The sequence below is a fragment of the Homo sapiens genome, chromosome 15, assembly GCF_000001405.40.
Source record: "Homo sapiens chromosome 15, GRCh38.p14 Primary Assembly".
NCBI classification, from domain to species: domain Eukaryota; kingdom Metazoa; phylum Chordata; class Mammalia; order Primates; family Hominidae; genus Homo; species Homo sapiens.
Genome location: NC_000015.10, coordinates 30,544,240 through 30,566,969, shown reverse-complemented (window position 1 = coordinate 30,566,969; position 22,730 = coordinate 30,544,240). Strand labels below are relative to the sequence as shown.

Sequence of the window (22,730 nt, the reverse complement as noted above, 5' to 3'; positions counted from 1 at the left end):
GGATAGAACGGAAGATGCCGGGGCTGGGTGGAAGTCAGTGCCCTTAGGTGCTGGTACCTGTCTTCCCGGCCACCGCTAGATCAGGCTTCTGAGCCTGTTGGCTGTCAGGGCCAGACTGCGCCCCATAGACTACATGGCAGTCCCCTTGGAATCCCCCAGGCGCCACCAGGCAGCATACAGGTAACACGCCTGGAAGGTCCCCAACAGCCTAGCTGGACATGCTCAAGACACTCTGGGACTCCTTGTTTGGTGGCACAAACTCCAGGACCCAGTGAGGGAAACGGAAACACACCAGGCCGAGCAGTATGGCTAAATCCATTTATTCCAAAATAAAAAGCAAAATAAACAGGAGTCGCATCACCAGGGAGCCATGACCCCATCCCCACCTCCTTCCTCTGTCCTATGCTAGCAATAAATAAGTTTCCCAGCCACAAATAATTATTACAACCTCCTCCCCATGTGCCAGCTCCAACCTCAGCTAGGTATGACACAGGGGTGGCCCTACCCTCTGGAATATACAAAACCTTACACAGACACAATGTGTACACCGGGGAACGGGGGCCACCCCAGCAGCCCGTGCCCTCGCCTGGTCCACAGTTAGCCCCACTGTCCTGCCTCTCTGAATAAGAAGGGAGCCCCCCTGAGGGAAAAGTTGCTATGGTGAGAGTAAGGGGGGCATCAGGCCTCCTCCAAACAAACCAACTCCACCAGCCTCTGGCTCTTAAATAACAATCATCATCATCCAGAAATTTAGGGACTCAGCCCTGGTCAGGGTGGCAAAGGGTCTGTTTGTCTTTCCCCATTAGACAGAGGTCTTGTCCTGCTACCCTAATTGTAAAGGGCTGCCTGGGAAGGGGTGGTAGGGACATGGTGGCGGTGGAGACTCCGGCCCCACTTCTCCAGGCTTTGCTGACAGGGGCCTGCTTTTAATTTTTATTTTTATTCCATGACTTTTTAAAAAAGAATCCCGTAACTTCTTTTTCATAACTTTTTTTGTAACTTTTCATAATACTGTTTTCTACTTTGTTCCCACAAGTTTTTTTGCCACAACGTTTTTACATTTTTTATCCCATAACTTTTTCACCCCATAACTTTTTTAATCCCATAACTTTTAAAATCTTGTGTTCTTTAAAGAAACACTTGCATAGTTATATCACAACTTTGTAAAAATGAAACACATTATCTCATGCCAAGCATGCCCAGCATTTGCACAGTATCAATACCTTTAATACTATAGTTTTCAAGAAACGCAAAATAAAATTTTAAGACAAAAACAACACATTGAAACAACTTAAAAATTTATTACATTACAGTGGCATCACACCAGCAGTCAATAAGGCCACTCTAGGGAAAAATCTTTCAGTATTTCCACGACACATTCTCTTTACAATAATTCATAAACTGGTAAAATTCATTCTAAGAAAACTTGGCAAATAAAACTTTGGACTGGAATTGGCATTTCTTTCTCTGCTTTTCGTTCCCACCATTTCTTTCTTTTATACTACAGTATTCATATTTTAAAATGTTTTAAATTATTTCAGAACATTAAGATAGCAGTTACATTTTTTAATAGTTATATTATTTTAAAATGACTCTTTAAAATAAAGTTTTAGAGAAACTATATTATGGATAGGGCTGATTTACATTTTCAAATTTTCTAAAATCAGCTTTGGTTTTAGAGCTGATTTTTTTTTTCATTTCTGGAAAATTATCAGGTTTAATCAAATACTTTTAAAATGATTATTATACATTGCCATCTTTAAATAGGTATTTTGATTCTTCCTACAGAAATCAAAATGTATTCAGTGGAACTCACAGTTTAAAATTCTATGTTTCTGATGAACTCTAACATTCCAATGTTGCCTTCTAAGCAAACTGAAAGCTGCCTTATACTGAATGAGGAAGAGCACAAATACTCGGCTGAATGAGGTATCGCAAAAGACTGCATGCACTTTGGAGAAAGACTTGAGTTATTGTCATACAATTTCCATTCTTTTTAGCTTTTTCTTAAATATATGACAAATACCTACACAAAGAGTGGTATTTCAGTCAATATAGTAAATTTATTTTCCAGACTGACCTTCAGCTTAAATATGCCAGTGTGTGATTTAATCCATAGGCACCTCATGAACACATTATTGTCAGATTGGTTACAGATGCTAAACGCTATCCGAAGGTCATTCCTAGTCACTGATATTTATCAGGGTAAAAGTGAAGTGATTTCAACGATAAAAGTACCTTTGCAATAATTTATCAATGTATTAGATAAACCCAGTTTCAGAATGATAAAAGAAAAAACGTTAGACCAAATAATGTGGCTGATTAACAGTGGTCCGATTTCTAGCCCGAGGGTTTAAAATGCTCTTAAAGTAACTGTCTTTAAACTGAACTCAAAGAATGCAAAAGCGGCAAGTTCAGAAAATAAAAGGCGAGAACAGGACTTTAAGTGCATTTTAAACCCACGGGCTACAAATCGTACCACTGTTAATTAGCCGCATTATTTGGTCTAAGATTTTTTCTTTATCATTCTGAAACTGGGTTTATCTAATACATTGATACATTCATAAAATTTGGAAGAGTCAGTGGAAGTCACAAGGACCGAATATTTGCACTCTTTCAGTGAATGCCAGCAAATCTGTTATTCCATCGGTAAAATCGTATTGTTGCTCTCCTGTTAATGTCATATTTATAGAAGTATCATGAGGATGCCAAATGCTAAAAATGGAGATGATCTAGTAACTAGAAATCCCCACCGCAGGGAGCACACACACCTATCTCCCTGCATCCTAACAATGTGATGTGTTTTGGAACACAGACATTAGAACTTCATGAAGTTTGAACTGTTGAGTCTTTCCCAAGCATCATCAAGTTACGATTTAGGCAATACATAACTGAAATGCATTCATTCATCATGCATAGGCACAATCACATAAATATTGCACAAAATATGTCCCGAACAGAAACCCAGAGGTACAAAAACATATTTCACTTTGTAAAGAAGTTTGTGAGAAAATATAACTCTGTGGTTGTATAGACACGTTTCCTGATAATACATTGACATTCACGAACAACAGTAGATTGCACTGCAGTTTGTACACATTTTAAGTTTCATAAACTTCTCCTTGATTTTCAAAGATAGTATAATACCATCTACTAAAACTCCTTTTTGTTTCAACTATCTCACATATATTAGTTTATAAGAATGTTTCTATTTTTTTAAAGTGTTTTCCATTCAAAGAAAAAGAAGTAAATTCCTATGTCAGAGTAACCAAGGTGGTTGAAGAATAGGTATTAGCCAAAGAGGTCTAGATGGTAAAATCAATCTTCAAGCCTCAAAGAATCTCCGTGAACAGAGAGGAATGCCAGGAGTCACACAGCTTTCCTTCACTCTAATTCATTCTTGACTAGAGCCTATATGCCTGTTCCAGGGACATTTGAACTCGTAAAGGATTTCTTATGATCTTCACTAAATACATTAAGAAGAATGCCAACCAGTGCCCTTTTGTGTACTGGGGCATGTAGTCATGTGATTAAAACAGGTAACATGAACTCTGACTTTAAAATGTATTGTAGATACAAATGCTCTAAGCTAGGAAAGGTTTTCCACATCTACAGTCAACGATGGGAACCTTTCATTCCTCAGAAATAAGCCCTTTTTAGGTCATCGAAAAAGAGTGCAACTGCTGCAGCTCATGATGCAATATCTTCATGAGCCCAGAGCACATACAAATCCTAAGGGCACCACCATAATACACCGCTAATTCCTGGCACCGGAAGAGATGAAACACACTCTATCTTGCACATACCTGCCAGAGGAGGCCACTTTCCTCTTCTGTGAGATTTAAAAAGCTCCCCCAAAAGGTTATCACTCCCATCACCAATACACAGAAAATGGAGGAAAGGCTGTTTCCAATTCTTGGCCTTTAAACAACTCTAAATGTCAGTACTCATAGTGGCGTATTACAAAGTAATAAACAGTGCACACTTGGGGGCAAACTACATATTGAGCTAAGGAAGAGCTCACTGTGATTAAGATTACATCAAACAACAGCAGAACATAGGCAAATTTTGTCTGAATGCTGTAGTGAATATACATGCTGCAATAACATTAAAAAAGCATGGCAGCCTATTCCAAACCAAAGAGAACAGTTTTGGGCAAAGAGTGGGTCTTTGTGTGTTTGAACTCCCACCACGTAAGGGCAAACTCGATATGCACGCTAATGACCTACAATTATGAAATTAAAAAAGAAAAATGCTAAAGGATGCCAGAGTGAACATCAGTGAGAGCCACAGACACCCACTCTCTTTTAACTTTTTACAAATAAACTTAAACTATAAATTAGAAACACAAATAATCATGAGTGAGTCTAACATTCAAAGGAAGTAAATGAATTGTGTAGGAGATTAACCCCATAACTTGGTTTCTTATTTAAAAATTTCTTGAGCAGCTGTTTGATGATGGTGATGTTTATCTCCTTCTTCTTGGCAGCCAAGCCCAACAAAATAATGGCACACAGCAGTTGCTGCCCAAGCCTGGGTGCTCCTGGTGGTCCTGCACGATCGGCTGTGCAGTAGGCTTGTCAAGGAGAGGATCCTCCCTGGCCTCTCCTTGGGCAGAGGAGGTGAGGGTCACCTCACGAAGATCTTTGGAGAGAGGGAGGCGGGGATCTGAGCACAGTGGGAGCCCCCCTCTTCCTGCCTACCCACCCCACCTGAGGGCTCTACACACCACCATGCTTGTCTGCAGCCCCAAGCTCCTGGGGGGCTGGGGCTCCTGGACCGGGCTCATCAGCAGAGTTGTGGGCAGCGGCCAGGAATTTTCTGTGCCCATTGTTGTAGTTGCTGTAAGCCGCAATACCATCTGCTGCAGCTCCAGCAGCTTCACCTGGAGGGAGGGGTGCTCAGCTGCCATGCCGCTGCCTGCGCCCACCCTCACACCCACCCCCACCCCCACCCCCACAGAGATGTTGCACACCCTACCTTCATCTCCTCCCTGAGCTCCAGCCTGATGGTGTCCTCCTCCCAGTGCTGCATCTTTGGCACGGCCCCCTGGTTCTGATAAAAGGTGATGGATTTTCCTGCGGGAGGACAGGGCTCAGATTCTGGGGCCCCTCTGATGGCCCTGTAGCTCCCCCTGCCGTGCCCTGGCCTCCCACTCACTGATGGCATCTCTCTTGCCAGTATTGAATGAAGCGAAGTTCTTGTTTTTTCACCAGCTCACTCAGGTCTGCCTTCTCCTTCAGGTGGTCCATAAAGCTGCTCTGGAGCCAAAATATTGCAGTCACATCTCGGCAGCGACCTGCCCTCAGGTGGCATTTTCAAGTCATGGAGAAGGTGGAGGTGAGTCCTGGCATGGGCCAGCTTCTCCGTGACTTCCTGCAGGGCCCAGTGGGTCTCCCCACTCACAGACTCGCCCCCAGGCCCTGGGGCTCCAGGGCCTCTGGCTGCCTCTGGCTCCTTCTGGGCCGAGGCCACCGGGTGAGCCAGGCGCTGGCAGCACACCCTCTGCTCTTTCACCTGCTCTTGTAACTGTGCCTGCTTCTCCTGGGCACTAGCTCCAGCGGACTTGAAAAATGCCACCTGAGGGCAAGATGTGAGCATTCTTCTAGGGGCATACACAGAAGAAATGGGGCAGAGAGGTGGAGCGCAGCCCCTTCCCTTGGGGCCTCAGAGAGTGCACATGTTGGCCACAGGTGAAATGGTGTCTGACCACTGGCTCTCGGAAGGGGTGAGGGTCCAGAGAAATCAGAAGGCAGGGAAACGAAGAGCATAAAGGGGTCTTGGAGGGACCACAGAGAAAGGTGGCAAAATGGGTGCAGGGGGAGTCAGGCTCACCATGGCCTCCCTGCTCTCCAGGTCCTCTGGGACACTCGGCATGGGCTGAGGTGCCTCCTCCCCCTCACTGTCCAGATGTTCTCCTCCGTGTCCTGTGGGGGGTGGCCAGAGGGGTCTTCAGACAACCCAACAAGGGAGGTACTGTGGGCCCACCTCTACCTCCACCCTCACTGTGTAACCCTGAGCCAGCCCCTCCCCAGAGAGGAATGAGCTGTTGTTCTTTATTTTTACTTTTAAGAATCAAGATCTTGCTATTCCGCCCAGGCACACTCCCACTACTGGTCGATGTGGGAGTTCTGACCTGCTCCCTTTCTGACCTTGGCCAGTTCAGCCACCCTTAGGCAACTTGGTGACTGCCCGCTCACAGGAGGTCACCACACTGATGCCGAACTTAGTGCAGGCACCCGGTCGGCATAATGACCAGCTGCTCTAAAGGTCTCTTCCAACTCCTCAATCCTATGCTGCTAGCAGTCCCCCCTTCCTCCTGGGGCTCTCTCCTCTTCCTCTGAGCGGTCTCCCGTACCTTCCCCAGGGAGAGCCATGAGGTTCAGCTGGGCCGTTAGCTGCTGGTTCTGCTGGCTGGCCGCTTCCAGGTGCTCCTAAGGGGCCAGGAAAGAGTGAGAAGGGATGGAGTTTGCCAGGTCGTCCCCCTCACAGCCCCATCCTCGGCAGCTCCCTCCCCTGGGTCTCCTGCAACTTTTGGCAGGCCATCTCGGCCACTGCTTTGCCCCAAGCTTTCTACTGCTGCAGCTGGTTCATTAGCTGGGTCTGTTGCAGTCACTGCCTGTACAGCGCCTCCTTCTCACAGGTCAGCTGCTGATAGGCGGCCACCTGCTGCTGATAGGTGGCCACGTACTGCTGCAGGTGACCCAGGTAATGGTCTGGCTGCTGCTGCAGACTCTGAACCTCTTGGCTCTTCAGCTACACCTGCAGGAAGACCCTGGGTGTGAGGGCACGTGGTGGCTGGTTTCCAGATTCTGGGCCCATTAATAGGGTAGCGAGGGCACTGTGGGGCTCTGTCAGCTACCCAGGCCCCTGTCCCCTTACTCCAGGCCTAAGTGACTGCCTCCCTTTCCTAGAACCCCATGCCTCCTTCCCCAGCCTCAAATCTCATACCCTCTTCTCATTTAATCCTCAGCACCTCTGTAAGGAAAATGCTAACTTCCCTTTGAAGTTAAAGAAACAGAGACTTAGAGATGCAAAGTACTTGAATGGTGACCAGTGGAACCGAGGCTGGAATCCAGTTTCAATCTAAGGAGTCTTTTTGTTTTGTTTTCAGACAAGAGTGTCACTCTGTGGCCCAGGCTGGAGTGCAGTGGTGCAATCTCAGCTCACTGCAACCTCCACCTCCTGGGTTGAAGCAATTCTCGTGCCTCAGCCTCCCGAGTAGGTGGAATTACAGGCATGCGCCACAATGCCCTGCTAATTTTTTTTTTTTTAATTTTAGTAGAGATGAGGTTTTACCACATTGGCCAGGTTGATCTCAAACTCCCGACCTCAAGTGATTCTTCTGCCTCAGCCTCCCAAAGTGCTGGGATTATAGGCATGAGCCACTGCACCTGGTATAAGGAGCCTGTTATAGCACTGTCTCTTCCCCTGTGATTGGGGGCTCCATGCCTCTAGCTGGGATGATGATGTCCAGACCTGAGAGGAGCCCAGGGCTACCCACCTTTAAAAGTCAGAGGCAGGAAGCGAGAAACAGTCGCAGGACTGCCCTGCGGGGTGCTGTGGTCACCAGCCCCCAGGCTGGAAGCTGCCTCTGACCTGGCACCTCCCCTCCCAAGAGGCTGCTGCCCGCCTCCCAGCCCTTCTTGGATGGGGTGGAGGTTTCCGTCTCCTTCACCTCGCCAAGCTTCTCCTGTAGCTCCTTTACTTGCTGCTCCAACTGCAGTGTGCTCTTGTTCTCATTGTTCTGGACAGAGAGAAACAATCAGCAGCCACCCACTGCAGCTGGAGACCCCAGAACTTGGTGTCTGCCTCCCATGGCACTGGGAAGGCTGGAGGCAGGTTAGAAAAATCACCCCCTCTCTCCCACAGCCACCTGGCTCACAGGTGCCTTTAGAAGTAACCTTTCACGCGAGGGCTACACTGCCCCATTTTAGAGGTGGGGAAACAAAGGCCCGGAGGGCTAGGGAGGAGGGCAGGCTCCCCAGTTGGGGCAACGCACCAGCTCCTCGAAGACGCTCTGTGGCTTGGCCAGCTGCCGAAGCTTCTCGTGCTGCTCCTGAAGCCTCTCCTCCTGCTTCCGAAGCCTCTCTTCCTGTTCCCGAATCCTCTCTTCTTGTCGCCGGTTCAGGAGACTTATGTGCTGATTGTTTTTGACCTGGGACTGGAGCTCTCCTGCCACTCTCTCTAGTTCCTTCCTCAGGTGCTGCAGCTCCACCTCAGAGGGCACTGCTGGGGGCTCCGGGGGCAAGGGTTCAGCTGAGAAAGGAAGCAGATAATAAGGGCCTCTGGATTCTCGGAAAAGAAAAACCCTCCTCTTGGCGCACAGCTCCTCTCAGGCTCCTCAAACTTGGCCTCACTGCTAATGATTCCTCGCACCCAGATGGTAGCCAGTCTTCCAAAGGACTTTCAGAGAAAGAGCACTGTGGGTGGCTGGCAACGGGCCCTCTTTGCTGATGGGGACACTGAGACACTGAGACTCATTGAGATGACAAGACTCGCCGTCTCCTGGCACAGATCTCTTTCCCTCTGCCTCAAAGCCCTTCCATCCACCCACCTCCCTGGGGCACTCTAAGCCACCCTCACAGCCCTCTGATGCCAGTCCTGCTCCCAGGTCATGCCAGCCCCATCTTACCCATCTGGTTTTTGAGTTTGGACAAGCTCCTCTCCAGCTCCTCTACCCGACGCATATCTTGCTGCTTCTCTTTCTTTAATGTGCAAATCTGCCCAAAGCACAAGGGGAAAGGGCCTTGGAGAGAGGGGCTGGAGGCTGGACAGGCTGCCCTCTCCCTCTCTGCCCCCACCTCCACAAAGCCCAGACCCATGACCACCTCTGGCTCTACTATTCCCATTTTACAGATGCCCAGAAAGATCCAGTGCCCTATCTAATGTGGGGGGGCTGAAGGGTCAGATCTCACCTCCTGCAACATTTTACTCATCCTCTGATGCCACCGGGCCCTCTCTCCTTCTATATGTTCAGCACACTCATCTCTTTCTAATTGGAGTTGTTGAAATGACTCCTTCAACTGCAAGAATGGGCACAGAAGTTAGGAAGGGCTGTCACTGGTCCTCACCTGCTCCTGGCCACCTGGGGTCATCGTCCTTCCACATCCCTCCCTCGGAAAACCTCACCTGTGTCAGCTGCGCTTTCAGCAGTGCCTGGTCCTGTAGGGACTGCTCTAACTCCCACTCTGTATGTGCTTTGCTGCAGCTGGACAACTGGATGGTGAAGAGTTAGAAGTTTCAATCTGGAGAGCCTGGGCATTTCCACACAGTGCCCCTTAACAGGGCTAGGGCTAGGCCCAATATACAACTCGGTCAGTAAAGATCAAGGCATTTCCCAGCCCGTGGTCTGGTTTTTAAAAGAACACAGTAAAGTTGGAACGGACAGGGAATGAGACTGAGTTTATAGCTGGCTAACAGAGGCCCAGAGAGATCAGATAATATTGCTATTGTTATTATTGTCATTATTACCACTGTTTGAACCTTTGTGGAATGCTTCACCAGGTACCGTGCTAACAATCCCATTTAATCCTCGCAACCACCATAGGAGACAGTTACTATGATTCCCTCTATTGTGGAGATGAAAAAACATGGAGTATTTGAGGTTAAGTGCTTGCCTAAGTTCACTTAGGCAGAGCTGGGATATAAACACCCAGGTCTATCCAATTCTCTAAGCCCATTTTTCTTGCTGGGGATGGGGGCACAGATAGGAAGGGGAAAATTAATCTTTTGTTCACTTTTTGACAGGATGATACATTCACATAGTCCAAAACTCAGAAGGTACAGAAGGGAAGTATCTCCCAGCCATCTTGTTCTCTCTCCTGAATTTTTTATGAACCCTTGCAGACATGTTTTATGTATATTATCACAGTATGTACACACACACACACACACACACACACACATGCACGCGTTTCCTCTTTCTACAGAAATGGTAACATACTAAAGGTACTCTTCTGTACCTTCACAGTACAAGTACCCAATACCCCACCTAGGACTTGCCCAAGACCACAGCCAGGTAAGGGCGGGGCAGGCACTTGGCCTCCAAGCTCTGCCTCCAGTGCTCACTCCCCACAGTACCCCCCAACTCACCCACAGCAGCTGACTCGGCCCCAGGCTGCCACTAAAAACCATACAAAAAAGTAGCAAGAAATGGCCATGCTGCCTTCTGGGCAGGACACGCCATCCTGCAGAAGGGACCTTTAGGCTCACTCCTCCATCTGCAAAACCAGGCTCCCAGGGGATGGGGCAGGTGGCTGGACTCACCTGGTTTGCCTTCTTCTTCTCTGTGGCGATGACAGCAGACAGAGCCCTCTCTAACTCTCCTTTACACTGCAATGAATGTTGCAGGCGGACAGCCAGGTCCTTGGACTCTTCTGTAATGAGAGAGTTGAGATGGGGCCCAAAGGACTCCCCCTGAAGACCTGTCAAAGTGCCAGGTTGAAGGATGACAGGGTGCCCAGATTCCCACCTTCAAAGTATCTGAGAGAACGTTCCATGTGGTACAGGTCCGTATTTAGTTCCTCTTTCTGTATGATCAATGTCTGGATTTGAACCTTTGGGAGAAAAGCCAAGCAAGTGCTGAAAGAGAAGGAAAGAAACATTCTCCGGAGGACAGGAGGAAACTGCACACCCTCCACTCACCTCTAGCTCCCTTTCGGCTTTCTGTCTCTCGTTGTTTGCTTTCTTTTCCTGTAGGAAGAGGAAGACAGAGCTCTTACCAGGGGGAGGCAGAGATGGCACAGCAAGAGACATGCCCCCAGAATGCCACCAATGCCCCAGGACAGGCCCACCCATGGGACCAGGTTATCAGGGGCCCTGTGGGGATGGGGTGGAATCTGAGGGGTGAGCCTTCTTCCCCAGGCTGGGAGTGGGTGAGACGAGACTGGGGCCTGTATGTCTGAGTGCCCCCCAAACCCAGCAGTCATGTTGCGAGGAAACGAAATCACGTTACTTCTTCCAGCTGATGTTCCACTTGTTTCTTCTGTTGTTTCTGTGGGGAGAGTCAAATAAGGTGATGGAGGGTGGCCCCCTCAACTCTATTCCCCAGATCAGGAAGCGGTAGGCAGGGGCCAGGAATGGATTTTAAAGGCAAAGTTCTCAGACATAATGGGAACACGAACCGGTAAACTCTCCTCAAGCTCCCAAGGACAGAGGATTTGGGTCTTTGTTGGCTTTTGCCCACAGCCACAGAACTCAGTCTGAATCTGGAATCTCTTGAGAGGACAGCAACATAAACCTCTAGAGATGGAGTTTCAGAAAGGCCCCTCCTTCTGGCAGCTTGTGATTTAGAAAAGTGGGTTCATTCAATAAACACTTACTGAGCACGTATGGGCCAGGTACGGTTCTTCACAGCAGATATAGGATGGAAAAGGACAGACAGGAGCCCTTAGCCCTGAGGTTTCCGTTCTAGGGGGCCTTTAAATCTCAGACTCGAGAGCTAACAGAGACCTTTGATACTCACTACCTCCTCTGGAAACACGAGCCCAAAAAGGAGAGGTGGCTTGTCCAGAATCAAAGAGCAAATTAGGGACTGAGTCATGGCAGAAATACGGGGACCTTGACAACCAGTCAGGCTAGCACTTCCCCAAGAGGCAACAACCCCAGGGCGTGTGTAGCAAGGACTCGAGCAGGGGTGTCTGGAGAGGAGAGAGTCGGCAAAGAGGGCAGCAAAAGAAGAGCCATGCTGCATGCTCTGGGGTCCCTCCAGGTGAGGCCTGGGCACCCAAGCTCCCTATTTGTCCCGGGCACCAGGGACCCCCAGCCCCTTTCTTCAGGGCCCCAAGGGGAAACTGGAGCCCAGGATTGGCAGCGTGGAATCAGGGGACCCCACCGGACTCTTACCAAAGATTTGATGGTGTTCTTCAGTCGACTGATTTTTACGGACGTTGAATCCAGGACTACTGCTCGTTCTTGGCACGGGCTCTGAGGTGCATGCAGAGAGGAGGAGGTGGAGCAGGAGTGGGGAGAGAGGTAGAGAGAACGATCGTTAGGGCTGGGGTGTGTGGGCTGTCTCAGCTGGCAGAGGGGCACCCAGTCCCACCTGGAGGAGGAGGTTGGAGGGTTGACCCGAAGGGTCACTGCACCTCCGCCCAGAGCCTCTTACCTCCAGATCTTTCAGGGTAGCAGATGATGTAGGGCCTTCCCTGTGGAAACCTGTTGCTGACTACAAGAGATGAGAGTGCACATGGAGATGTTCTGTCCCCCACAGTGTCTGAGCCCTCTGACTTCCTTTCTTCCCCATCAACTGCAACATTTTCTTTTCTGCCTATCTTGGACCTTTTGTCCCATAACTCCTTTGTGCCAACTTCTCTCATGGTTCTTATCTCCCCACCATCCCATCCTGGGGCCCCTTCAGTGACTCCTGATGGCAAGTGGCTGTTCTCTTTGTCCTGGTTTCCCCTTGAGACTGGGGATGAGGAAAATCAAACCATATCCTGGGTGTCCTGAGTGTTTACAGCAGGCCATGTACTAGGGATTAACATAAAAACAACAATAACAAATCTCATTTAAACTTCACAAATGGAAGTGAAACAATAACACCTCTATTATACAGATGTGAAAAGAGAGGCCCAATGAGGTCTAGCAACTTGCCCTAAATCATATCCCTAGCAGAGCAGATGGAGAGGCAGGATTCAAACCCAGAATTCCTTTTTTTTTTTTTTGAGACAGAGTCTTGCTCTTTCACCAGGCTGGAGTGCGGTGGCATAATCTTGGCCACTGCAAGCTCCACCTCCCAGGTTCACACCATTCTCTTGCCTCAGCCTTCTGAGTAGCTGGGACTACAGGCACACGCCACCACGCGTGGCTAATGTTTTTGTATTTTTAGTAGAGACAGGGTTTCACCGTGTTAACCAGGATGGTCTCGATCTCCTGACCTCATGATCCGCCTGTCTTGGCCTCCCAATGTGCTAGGATTACAGGCGTGGGCCACCACACCCGGCTAAAGCCAGAATTCTTAACCAGTACCCAGCAGTCCATCCACAATCTTAAGAATTACCCTCTATTGCCCCTTGGGCCCCCTGTCCCCAGAAGCCTGGTCAGCCAAGACTCACATCCCCAGGTGGCTGGCAACCACCGGAAGTGGCTGTCTCAGGGATACTGCCATTTGTTTTCCTGTTTCTGTTCACTCCTGCTGGAACTCTAGGTCTGTTTTTCTGCCAATATTCTTTTAACTGTTGGAAAGAAGAGCAGTAATATTCATGAGAACCGTCAGCCCCTACAGCCACAACCTCCTTTACAGTTTTTACAAAATACACTTACACACCATCTGATTTAATGACACCAACAACTGTACAAGGTGTTGTCACACTCATTTAGTGACTGAGAAGGATTGATATCATGGCTAGAAAAAAAAAAGAAAAAGGCAATACTGGAACTTTGAGACTCAGTCTTCTGACTCCAAGCTCTGAGGTTTTGCCAAGAATCAGCAGCTGCCAGGGACCAAAACCAGAGGCAGAGGTAGAAAAGTAAACATTAAGTAGGCAGGAACTGTATGCCATGTGGTTTAGTCATACATCCTCACACGTCTGTTAGTGTGAAGAAGTGCACCAGTACCTCTCAAACTTTTATATCAATGTGTCCTCATGGCAGAAGGCAGCCTTTCTCTTAAATCAGAATTTATCAGAAAGAGGACAACCCAAGCCTCATTTCAGAGAGAGGTCTGGTATACTCTTAGAAACCTATGTGACTGTCCTCCCTAAGTACATTCATGTTTTTTCTCTTGATCTCAAGAGAATCAAGGGAAACTGATGCTTCAGAAAGATGTCCCACATTTATCCTGTGGCACTCAAAGTACCCAAGGTTGAGATAATATGAGGAAGATTCAAGGTGTCAAGTTCAGTTTCCCAAGATCTATTCCACAGAAGATGAGCAAATCTCACTTCAGAGACCACTGACTGAAGGAGAGTCTGGTCCCAGAACCATGGAGAATTAGAATATGAGGTGGAGAACTCAGAAAAAAATGTTAAAATCTCTCTGGAAAGTAGAAGCCTGGGAGAAAACCAAATCAAACCCATTCTCTCATTGCCACCCAGAGATACTGTCAATGTTTTGAGTTCATGGGGGAAGTGTAGGCTTTTCCCACCGTCAACATCTGTAAGGGAGTGAGGCAGCCTGGAACCTCTTGCTCCTAGGTCCCATAGTCTCCATTCCCCTTCCAGCTGGAAATTTGTGCTGTGACCAGAGGAACCAGAAACGGGGTGAGAACGCTTAGGGGACTGGGTCGTAAGGTCAAAGGCCAGTCTTGCAGTAACGGCAGTTACTAGGTGGACTGTGACATCACAACATTCCACTCCTCCTGGTCGGGGGGAGGGACCATGTCAGCACCATGTCCAAGTCGCTGCTCCACGATGGGGGAGGGAAGCACAGGGTTGGGACCCAGCTCCTTGGAGACGCCAGCACAAAGAACCCAGGGAGGTCGACCTTGAGGCAGCAGGAGGGGAGGGCACAGTCTGCAGCAGGGAGTCCCAGGAGTCACCAGCCCAAAGTCACCCAAGGATGACTGGCGAGGGTGGGGCCTGGCTCCTTGGAGATGAGAGCCCAAAGAGCCCACGGAGATCAAGCTTGGGGCGGCAGGAGATGAGGGCCCAGTAATGGAGCGGGAAGCCCCAGGAGTCACCCACCCAAAGTCACCCTGGGGTGATTGGCGAGGGCAAGGACTGGGCTGCTTGCTGAAGGGGTGGGGCTGACTGACAAAACTTTGGTGGGGGTAGCCCAAGGCACCGGGGTTGGGGGGACCAGTCCAGTGTGCCTCAGGAGTCATATAGACTCTGGCAGGGGTCTTGTCATCAGAGGGGATCTGTGGCTGGGTTGAGGGGCTATGACCTAGTGCGTTTTTACCTTTTTCTTGGCTGCAGCCAATTTGTTGTGTTGAGTTTCTTCTGCCATTGCAGGGTGGGGAGGGAGGAAGGGTTGGGGCCACAGCAGCAAAATCCCAATAAGAACCGATCAAGGCCTCCAGTCACCTACCAGGCAGCTGTGTGACTGAGCCAGAGGAGGCGTAACCAGGGCCCCAGTAGAATGCGGAATAGGGGCGTGGCCTTAATGCTCCAAGCCCATTGGTCAATGAGAAAGATGAAAGGGAAAGGGGGCGTGGCCAGACAGCAGCGTGTCCAGAGGGCCCTGTGGCTCACAAGGAAAGCTGCCCGTGGCAACCGCTCTCCCCACCCACTCTAAGAGAGGGGAGAGGCCTCCCACTCTGGAAGAGAAGAGGGGCTGGCTTTTGCTTTAAAAGCTTTAAAACTTTAAAAAATATATGTGTGTATACTTTATATATATGTGTGTCCATATGTGTGTATCTATGTTTTTCTCCATAGCTGTCTTCATTATCCAGCTTCTATGCAAGGTCTATGATTTTGGCCTATATTTTTCATCTTTGATTACAGTACAAAAATTACCAGTATTACCTTAACTGAGATACAGATCCTATAAAAATGGAAAATGCATAGCATGCTTGATGATTAATGAAGCAGACTATATTATCCAACATTCTAATAAGATAAAATAATCACAATGATTTCTCTTTTTTGGAAAAATGTTTCTCTTATTCTCCTACGTTTTCGTTAAGATTTTTTTTCTTAAACAAGAAACATGTCTAATATCTGTAAAAGCACAAAGCTTTTGGGCTGGGTGCAGTGGCTCATGCCTGTAATTCCAGGACTTTGACAGCCCAAGGTGGGTGGATCATGAGGTCAGGAGATCGAGACCATCCTGGCTAACACGGTGAAACCCCATCTCTACTAAAAATACAAAAAAGGCCGGATGTGGTGGCAGGCAGCTGTAGTCTCAGCTACTTGGGAGGCTGAGGCAGGAGAATGACATGAACCCCCGAGGTGGAGCTTGCAGTGAGCCAAGATCATGCCACTGCACTCCAGCCTGGGCTACAGAGCAAGACTCCATCTCAATTAATTAATTAATTAATTAATTAATTAAAATAAAAAATTAATAGTAAGAGCAATGTGAACAAAAGATGCAATAAAATAATTTAGAAAATACAAACTATTAAAAAATAGATTTTAAAACTTGTGCAACGAAGTCAAACAGCAGCCAACGAAAATGTATACCCTTACACGTTTGTTTAAAAAGCAATTTAAATTACATTGATCCACTAAACTAGGAAAAGCAAAACAAACAAAAAGGGGGAAATAATTAAGACCTAAGGAAAAAGAAAAACCACTAGATTTAAAAAATAAAACTAAAGGAGGATTCTTTCAAAAGACTGAGATAATAAAACAGTCAAGCCTCTGATAAGTAATCAAGATAAAGAAAACTTTGAAGAGAAAAGGGCATATAGCCACATGTGAATATGATGCAAAAAGTGAAAACTTTACACATCTTTACAACACCTTAGAAGTATGGATGACATGTTCATTTTTTTTTTTTTTTTTTTTTTGAGACGGAGTCTCGCTCTGTCACCCACGCTGGAGTGCAGTGGCGTGATCTTGGCTCACTGCAAGCTCCGCCTCCTGGGTTCACAACATTCTCCTGCCTCAACCTCCCGAGTAGCTGGGACTACAAGCGCCCGCCACCACGCCTGGCTAATTTTTTGTATTTTGGCTTAGTAGAGACAGGGTTTCACCATGTTAGCCAGGATGGTCTCTATCTCCTGACCTCGTGATCCACCTGCCTCGGCCTCCCAAAGTGCTGGGATTACAGACATGAGCCATCGCACCCATCCAAAGTGTTCATTTTTTTTTAAGAACCTACAGTTACGAAAAGTAACTGAAGAAGTGGGAAATCTGGAGACCAATATGCAGAAGAAGGAAAAAGACAAAGACTCATCCTCCAAATTGGATATTTAAACCAGAATTTGTCATCCTCAGCAATATTGATATATTGGGCCAGATAATTCTTTGTGGAGGGTTCTCTTGGTGTGTTGTCGGGCATTTAGTAACATTCCCTCTACCCACAGAATGCCAATGAGACCTCCCGACCATGACCAGTTGTGACCACAAAAATGTCTCCAGATATTTCCAAACGTCCCATAGGAGGCAAAATACTCCTGCAGTTGAAAATTACTGTGTAAACCAGATCTACATCCTAGATCTTAGAAAAAAGATGTAAAGCTTCCCAACTCAGCCCTGCATACCCTTGATACTGAAATAACAGCCTTAAAGGAAACAAACAAAACTATAATCTTATTTAATACAGAAGTAAAAATGCAAAAATAAAATATTACCATAGCCATTCTAACAGTGTTTATTATAGGAATGCAAAGATAATTCAAAATTAGGAAAATTTCATCAGGCAATTCACAAATTATATTTCTACATATAATTGAAGGCACAATCATGAAAAACAAAGTAGCTCTATATGCATTAAGTCCATGATCTATTCAGTGAAAAACACAAGTTGCACATGTCTTACAGAAGGAAAACTTAACACTGAACACAGATTCTCACCATCTGCTCTTTGTCCTGAGGCTCCAATAGAAATACAGTGAAGAATAAACATTGTATAAGCACACCATTACAAAAAAGGAATGGGGTTACCAACAGAAGAGAATTCATCTTCATTAGACAATGACAGTACATGGAAAATGGTTAATTCATGGAGCAAAGCAACAAAGGTGGAGGTCAGGGGGATACTGAGAACAAGGAGGCTAATCTGTCCCACAGCAACCTGGAAAGGTTCTAGACTCAGACACGAGGTACCCCCGACAGTGGGACTGATAGGCAAGACTGAAAACAGAGATTAAGCAAAAGCCCGGATAGAGAACACATTTCACAGGCCCTGAAACACACTGCTGGCCCCATCTCCTTAAACAGAACCCAAGCAAACGTATCCACCTCAGGCAAGAGAATGTAGATTTTACATCCAGAGGAATGGAGTAGTCATCCAGCCATCATTTATGATTGCAACAGGAGATAAGATAGAGGGATGGAGGATAACAATTAGGAATCAGCATACATTCCCCTTAAAGCTATCAGTTGACAAGTCTTGGCCACAAAGAACTCCCAATCAATTTTTATTTATTTTTATTTTTATTTATTTATTTATTTATTTTGAGACAGGGTCTTGCTCTTTCGCCCAGGTTGGAATGCAGGAATGCAGTGGCATGATCAGAGCTCACTGCAGCCTCAACCTCCTGGGCTCAAGCAATCCTCCTGCCTCAGCCTCCCAAGTAGCTGGGACTGCAGATGGGTGTCACCACACCTAGCTATTTTTTTTTTTTTGTAAAGATGGGGTCTCACTATGTTGCCCAAACTAGTCTTGAGCTCCTGGGCTCAAGTGATCCTCCCACTTCGGTCTCCCAAAGCACTGAGATTATAGGTGTGAGCCACCACACCTCGGCTCCCAGTCTTTTAGTACCTCTCTCAAATATGAATGAACAAATAAAGGAATGGAAAAAAGACTACAGGTCAGGCACGGTGGCTCATGTCTGTAATCCCGCACTTTGGGAGGCCGAGGTGGGTGGATCACCTGAGGTTGGGAGTTCCAGACCAGACTGACCAACATGGAGAAATCCCATCTCTACTAAAAATACACAAATTAGCTGGGCGTGGTAGCACATGCCTGTAATCCCAGCTACTTGGGAGGCTGAGGCAGGAGAACTGCTTGAACCTTGGAGGCAGAGGTTGTGGTGAGCCAAGATCACATCATTGTACTCCAGCCTAGGCAACAAGAGCGAAACTGGGTCTCAAAAAAAAAAAAAAAAAAAGACTACAAATGATAAGCAACATAGAATAGATATTTAAGGAAAGGCTTTAAAAAGAAAAATAAGACCAAAATAAACTAAGAAAAAAATTATTAAAGAACAAGGAGATGCCAGGGAGAAGACAAAGAGTATCAAAATCACTTCATAAAGACACTTGTGAATATATTACATGTATAAAACAAAACAATATGAATAAGAAATAATCAGAGAAGAAAAAGTTCTTAGAACTCATGCTCCATCTTGGGAGTTGGTCTCCAATGAGCCATACCTCCTGTCATCATGTCCTCAGACAGGCCCATCCCATAGTCAATCTGGGTTGGCCCCAACACTCACTTTAACCTATAGCATGTGGTAGAAATGACACTGGACCTGTTCCAGGTCTAAGCCTTAAGAACTCCTGGCAGCTCCATTTCTGTGCTTCTGGAAGCCAAAAATAAGAATTGGCTACCTTCTTGGAGAAAGAAAAGCCACATGAAGAGATCCGAGAGGATGAGATGCTATGCAGAGAGAAAGGCCACATCAAGAATCACCAAGGCAGCAGACCTGTGGGTAAAGAAGCCGTCTCAGACATTCCACTGCAGCTGAGCATCCAGATGACCAGTCCCTGACACTGTTTAACCACACAGTGAGAGCTGCCAAATGAGACCAGCAGAAAAACTGTCCAGCTAGCCCCAGGTAATCCATACAGTCGTGACAGATAGACAGATGTGTAGTTTTAGGCCATTAGGTTTTGGGATAATTGGTTAAGCAACAATAAATAACCAAAACAAAACTTAAAGTTATGACAGTCCAAATAAAATTTCCTGAAAGTCGAAAGATAAGAAAATATTCCAGAACTGAAAATTTAAAAAACATTTAGAAATAACGTGAGATATAAGACTCAAGACAAGAGGTCTAAAATCCAATTAACAGACACTTCCAAATGAACAAATAAAATGGAAAAGAGAAAGTTAACAACAAAAATATGACAAGATTCAAGACTCCAACTTTGAAAGAGCCTATCCATAGGCCTGTTCATTTGGTGTACCCAGCATAATGAATGAAAAAAGACCCACACTAAGTACACTGTTGTGCTATTTCAGCTCACCAAGGAAAAGACAAACTCCTAAAAGCTTCCAGGGAGAAAGTCATGCATAAACAAGTGAAACTCAGGATGGCATGAGGCTTCGCCACCACGACTGGTTAGAAGACAACAGCACAGACTTTGAAATTCTAAGGTAAAATTATCCTCAACCTAGAAATACGTAATCAAGCAAACTATCAATCAAGTGTGAGGGTAGAATATGAGAGACGTGAATACTGATGGGGATGTGATATGCAGCAGGCACTGTTCTAAATGGTTTACATGTACCAACCCAATTAAGAAACTTAAAATACACACGCGCGCACACACACACACACACACACACACACAGTTTTTCCTGCTAATCATTTTACGATGAAACAGCCAAGTAGCTAACCCAGAGCCCACAAAGGCAGAGTAAAAATTCTAACACTTGGTAAAATAAAAATGCACATATACCCTGTGATCTAAAAAAAAAAATGCTTAAATATTCAAAGACAGACAGCAATTACAGCTACTGAGAACATCACTGTAAGCAAACTGAGGCAGAGAAAACAAAGGTGCTAATGAGGATTTGAACCACCTAACATGCAGAAACCCACTGGATGCTTTCCTAGGTTCCGAGCTGGCATTGTCTTTCAGAATGATCTAGAAGAGGTCACATGACACTGTTACAAAGGATCTGGAGAAAGGGACCCTTGCTTTATCACTCCGGCTCTCCAGTCATGCTTCACATTTTCACTTCTTACACTCTTTCACATGAAGTCAATTTACAGACCTCCATCATGCCCTTAGAGACCTTTTTGTAATATTCTGACAAGTTCTGGATGTCATCTCTGCACTTTTGACAAATTCTTAGCAGTTAACGTACAAGGCAGTTAACATTTTTGTTCACGGTATAGCTAGAAAAGGGTCATATACTCAATAAAACAAATATTTACCAAGCATTCATTGAGTGGAAGATAAAACGCACAAAGCATAATTATAAAATATTCTCCCCTGCCATGATACAACAAAATTTTTAAAGGCTTACAGAATATAGCATAACATGACCAAAGCAAAAATAGTAAGGACTAAAGAGGGGAGGAAGGGAAAATATCAGCATGAACTGAATATGACCCAGAAGAGTCTTGATGGTCAGACATGTAAAGATGTATTGGGCAGGGTTAAGGGGTGGAAGTCAGGGGCACAGGTCAGGGGCACATTCTACAAGGGAAAAACAGCTGATACAGAAGCCTGAAAGGTAAAGTGGGCAGAGCACCTGTACAGGACTCTTACCTGCCACAGCGAGGGCACAATGCGCCTTTCCAGAACACAGCAGCGCGCAGCCAGGCCTGGGGCAGAGGGATCACTCAAACAGCACCAGAGGCTGCATTCCTACTTTTCTTCCGTCAACAAGTCCATTTTCGTTGTTAGTTTCTCCTTCAACACAAACTTAAAAACAAATGGCTGAACACGCAGGAACAAGGAAAACCTGACTGAAGAATGAGACGTTAAAACTTAAGGGCCTTGGGTCCTGGCACGGTGGCTCACGCCTGGAATCCCAGCACTTTGGGAGGCAGAGGTGGGTCATTTGAGGTCATGAGTTCAAGACCAGCCTGGCCAACACGGTGAAACCCCGTCTCTACTAAAAACACAAAAGCTAGCCAGGCGTGGTGGCCGGCGCCTGTAATTTCAGCTACTCGGGAGGCTGAGGCAGGAGAATCACTTTAACCAGTGGACTGTCAAGAGAGGTAGGCTGCAGTGAACCGAGATCGCGCCACTGCACTCCAGCCTGGGCTACACAGTGAGACTCTGTCTCAAAAAAAAAAAAAAAGAAGTCATGGTCATGGTAAAAAACCTATGGCTTTGGAAGGCTTTCTCGGTAACGTCCTAGAATTAAGGTTAAGCCTGCGTTTCATGTTAACTGAACAGGAAACCAGCCTGACCAACATCCTTCTGCCCGGTGGCTTGCTCTCAGCTCCTCTTCGTTGGGCCTTGGGCAGCCAGACTGTCTAGTTTTAATCCTTGCTCTGCCACCTGTGACCTTGGACAAGTTACCTACCTTCAGTTACCTCATCTACAAAATGCAGATATTAATAATACCCTCTTTTTAATTTATCCAGAGGATTAAAAGAGTTAATAAAAAGTAAAAAATAAAAAGACTTGGTAAGCATAGGCACAGAGGAAAAAAAAGTAAAAATAAATAATTAAATAAAAAGACCAGTGCCTAGCACATAAAATTTCATCAGGAATTAATTCTATAATATGAACTCAATTTTGCAAAACTTCAAAGTACGTACAACTTTTAACTTACTAGGGTATACATACCAGTAATAAATTCACAACGGTAGACATGTTTGCCTACTGTAAATATAACAAAGACTAAACAAGCAGATACTAAATCATTAAGCAATTATCAGTTAGTATCTTTAATTTTCTTATACTTCTATATTTTCTATAGATCATCTTTGTAACAAGAAGAAAACCAACCAAATGAAAATGAAATGAATTCTCTCAAAAAGAATTAAGTCAAGACAGGAAGAAGGCTCGCAAAGTAATATAAAATATATCTTATGGTTTATGTAAAATTCTTAATAAAATACCTTCTTTGCTCCAAGCTGCACTCTGGCTTTGCCTTTGAGTCAGGTGGCATTTCTTTGCACGATGACTGGTTTTATTGAGTAGGCACTGCTTCAGCCCTACAGGAAGAACAAAACCTCTCTGGAACACAGCAGCATTCCTGACTCCCACTTGAGGAGGCCTAACAAAACGGCATATGCCTCAACAGCAGCAGATCAGTGTTAAAAAGTCTGGAGTCAAGGGGAAAAAGTAAAATTGGACCATTTCCAAAATCTCACAAAAAGCAACAAACTGACGTTCTAAGTGCCCAACATGAGCAAATTAGAACCTTAAATAAAGGTCACTCTTAATGCCTATCCCAGCATAGATGCAGCACCAAGTACAGTGTCATTTTACTGGTTTACCTTTTTCATTCTTGAAAGTAGGAGCTATGAAAAAAAAACA

The 22,730-nt window shown here is 46.1% G+C and overlaps 1 protein-coding gene and 1 pseudogene across 1 annotated transcript, besides 3 other annotated features; both read right to left on the bottom strand.

Moving 5' to 3' along the window:
- Positions 1-1,155: part of a non allelic homologous recombination region, noted in NCBI's record as "15q13.2-13.3 gamma inversion proximal recombination region, recombines with the 15q13.2-13.3 gamma inversion distal recombination region", that runs on past the window's edge. NCBI's record gives the evidence for it as "EXISTENCE:nucleotide sequencing assay evidence [ECO:0000219][PMID:25326701]".
- Positions 1,286-14,920, bottom strand: GOLGA8Q (golgin A8 family member Q). The gene is made up of 19 exons (NM_001355476.2): positions 14,845-14,920; positions 13,059-13,178; positions 12,110-12,169; positions 11,848-11,928; positions 10,958-10,996; positions 10,648-10,695; positions 10,475-10,559; positions 10,270-10,379; positions 9,133-9,219; positions 8,919-9,026; positions 8,636-8,723; positions 8,003-8,259; positions 7,679-7,747; positions 6,359-6,434; positions 5,836-5,927; positions 5,161-5,261; positions 4,981-5,078; positions 4,730-4,885; positions 1,286-4,644 (listed from the first exon to the last, which is right to left on the bottom strand). Exons 1-19 carry the CDS (start codon positions 14,890-14,892, stop codon positions 4,469-4,471), a joined length of 1,899 nt encoding a protein of 632 aa, NP_001342405.1. The 5' UTR covers positions 14,893-14,920; the 3' UTR covers positions 1,286-4,468.
- Positions 6,015-6,514: an enhancer, noted in NCBI's record as "H3K4me1 hESC enhancer chr15:30852659-30853158 (GRCh37/hg19 assembly coordinates)". NCBI's record gives its function as "activates a minimal SCP1, AML or CMV promoter by ChIP-STARR-seq in naive H9 embryonic stem cells {active_cell/tissue: H9 hESC(naive)}" and the evidence as "EXISTENCE:reporter gene assay evidence [ECO:0000049][PMID:30033119]".
- On the bottom strand, positions 6,036-6,326 carry RN7SL796P (RNA, 7SL, cytoplasmic 796, pseudogene; annotated as a pseudogene).
- Positions 12,687-22,730: part of a non allelic homologous recombination region, noted in NCBI's record as "15q13.2 beta inversion distal recombination region, recombines with the 15q13.2 beta inversion proximal recombination region", that runs on past the window's edge. NCBI's record gives the evidence for it as "EXISTENCE:nucleotide sequencing assay evidence [ECO:0000219][PMID:25326701]".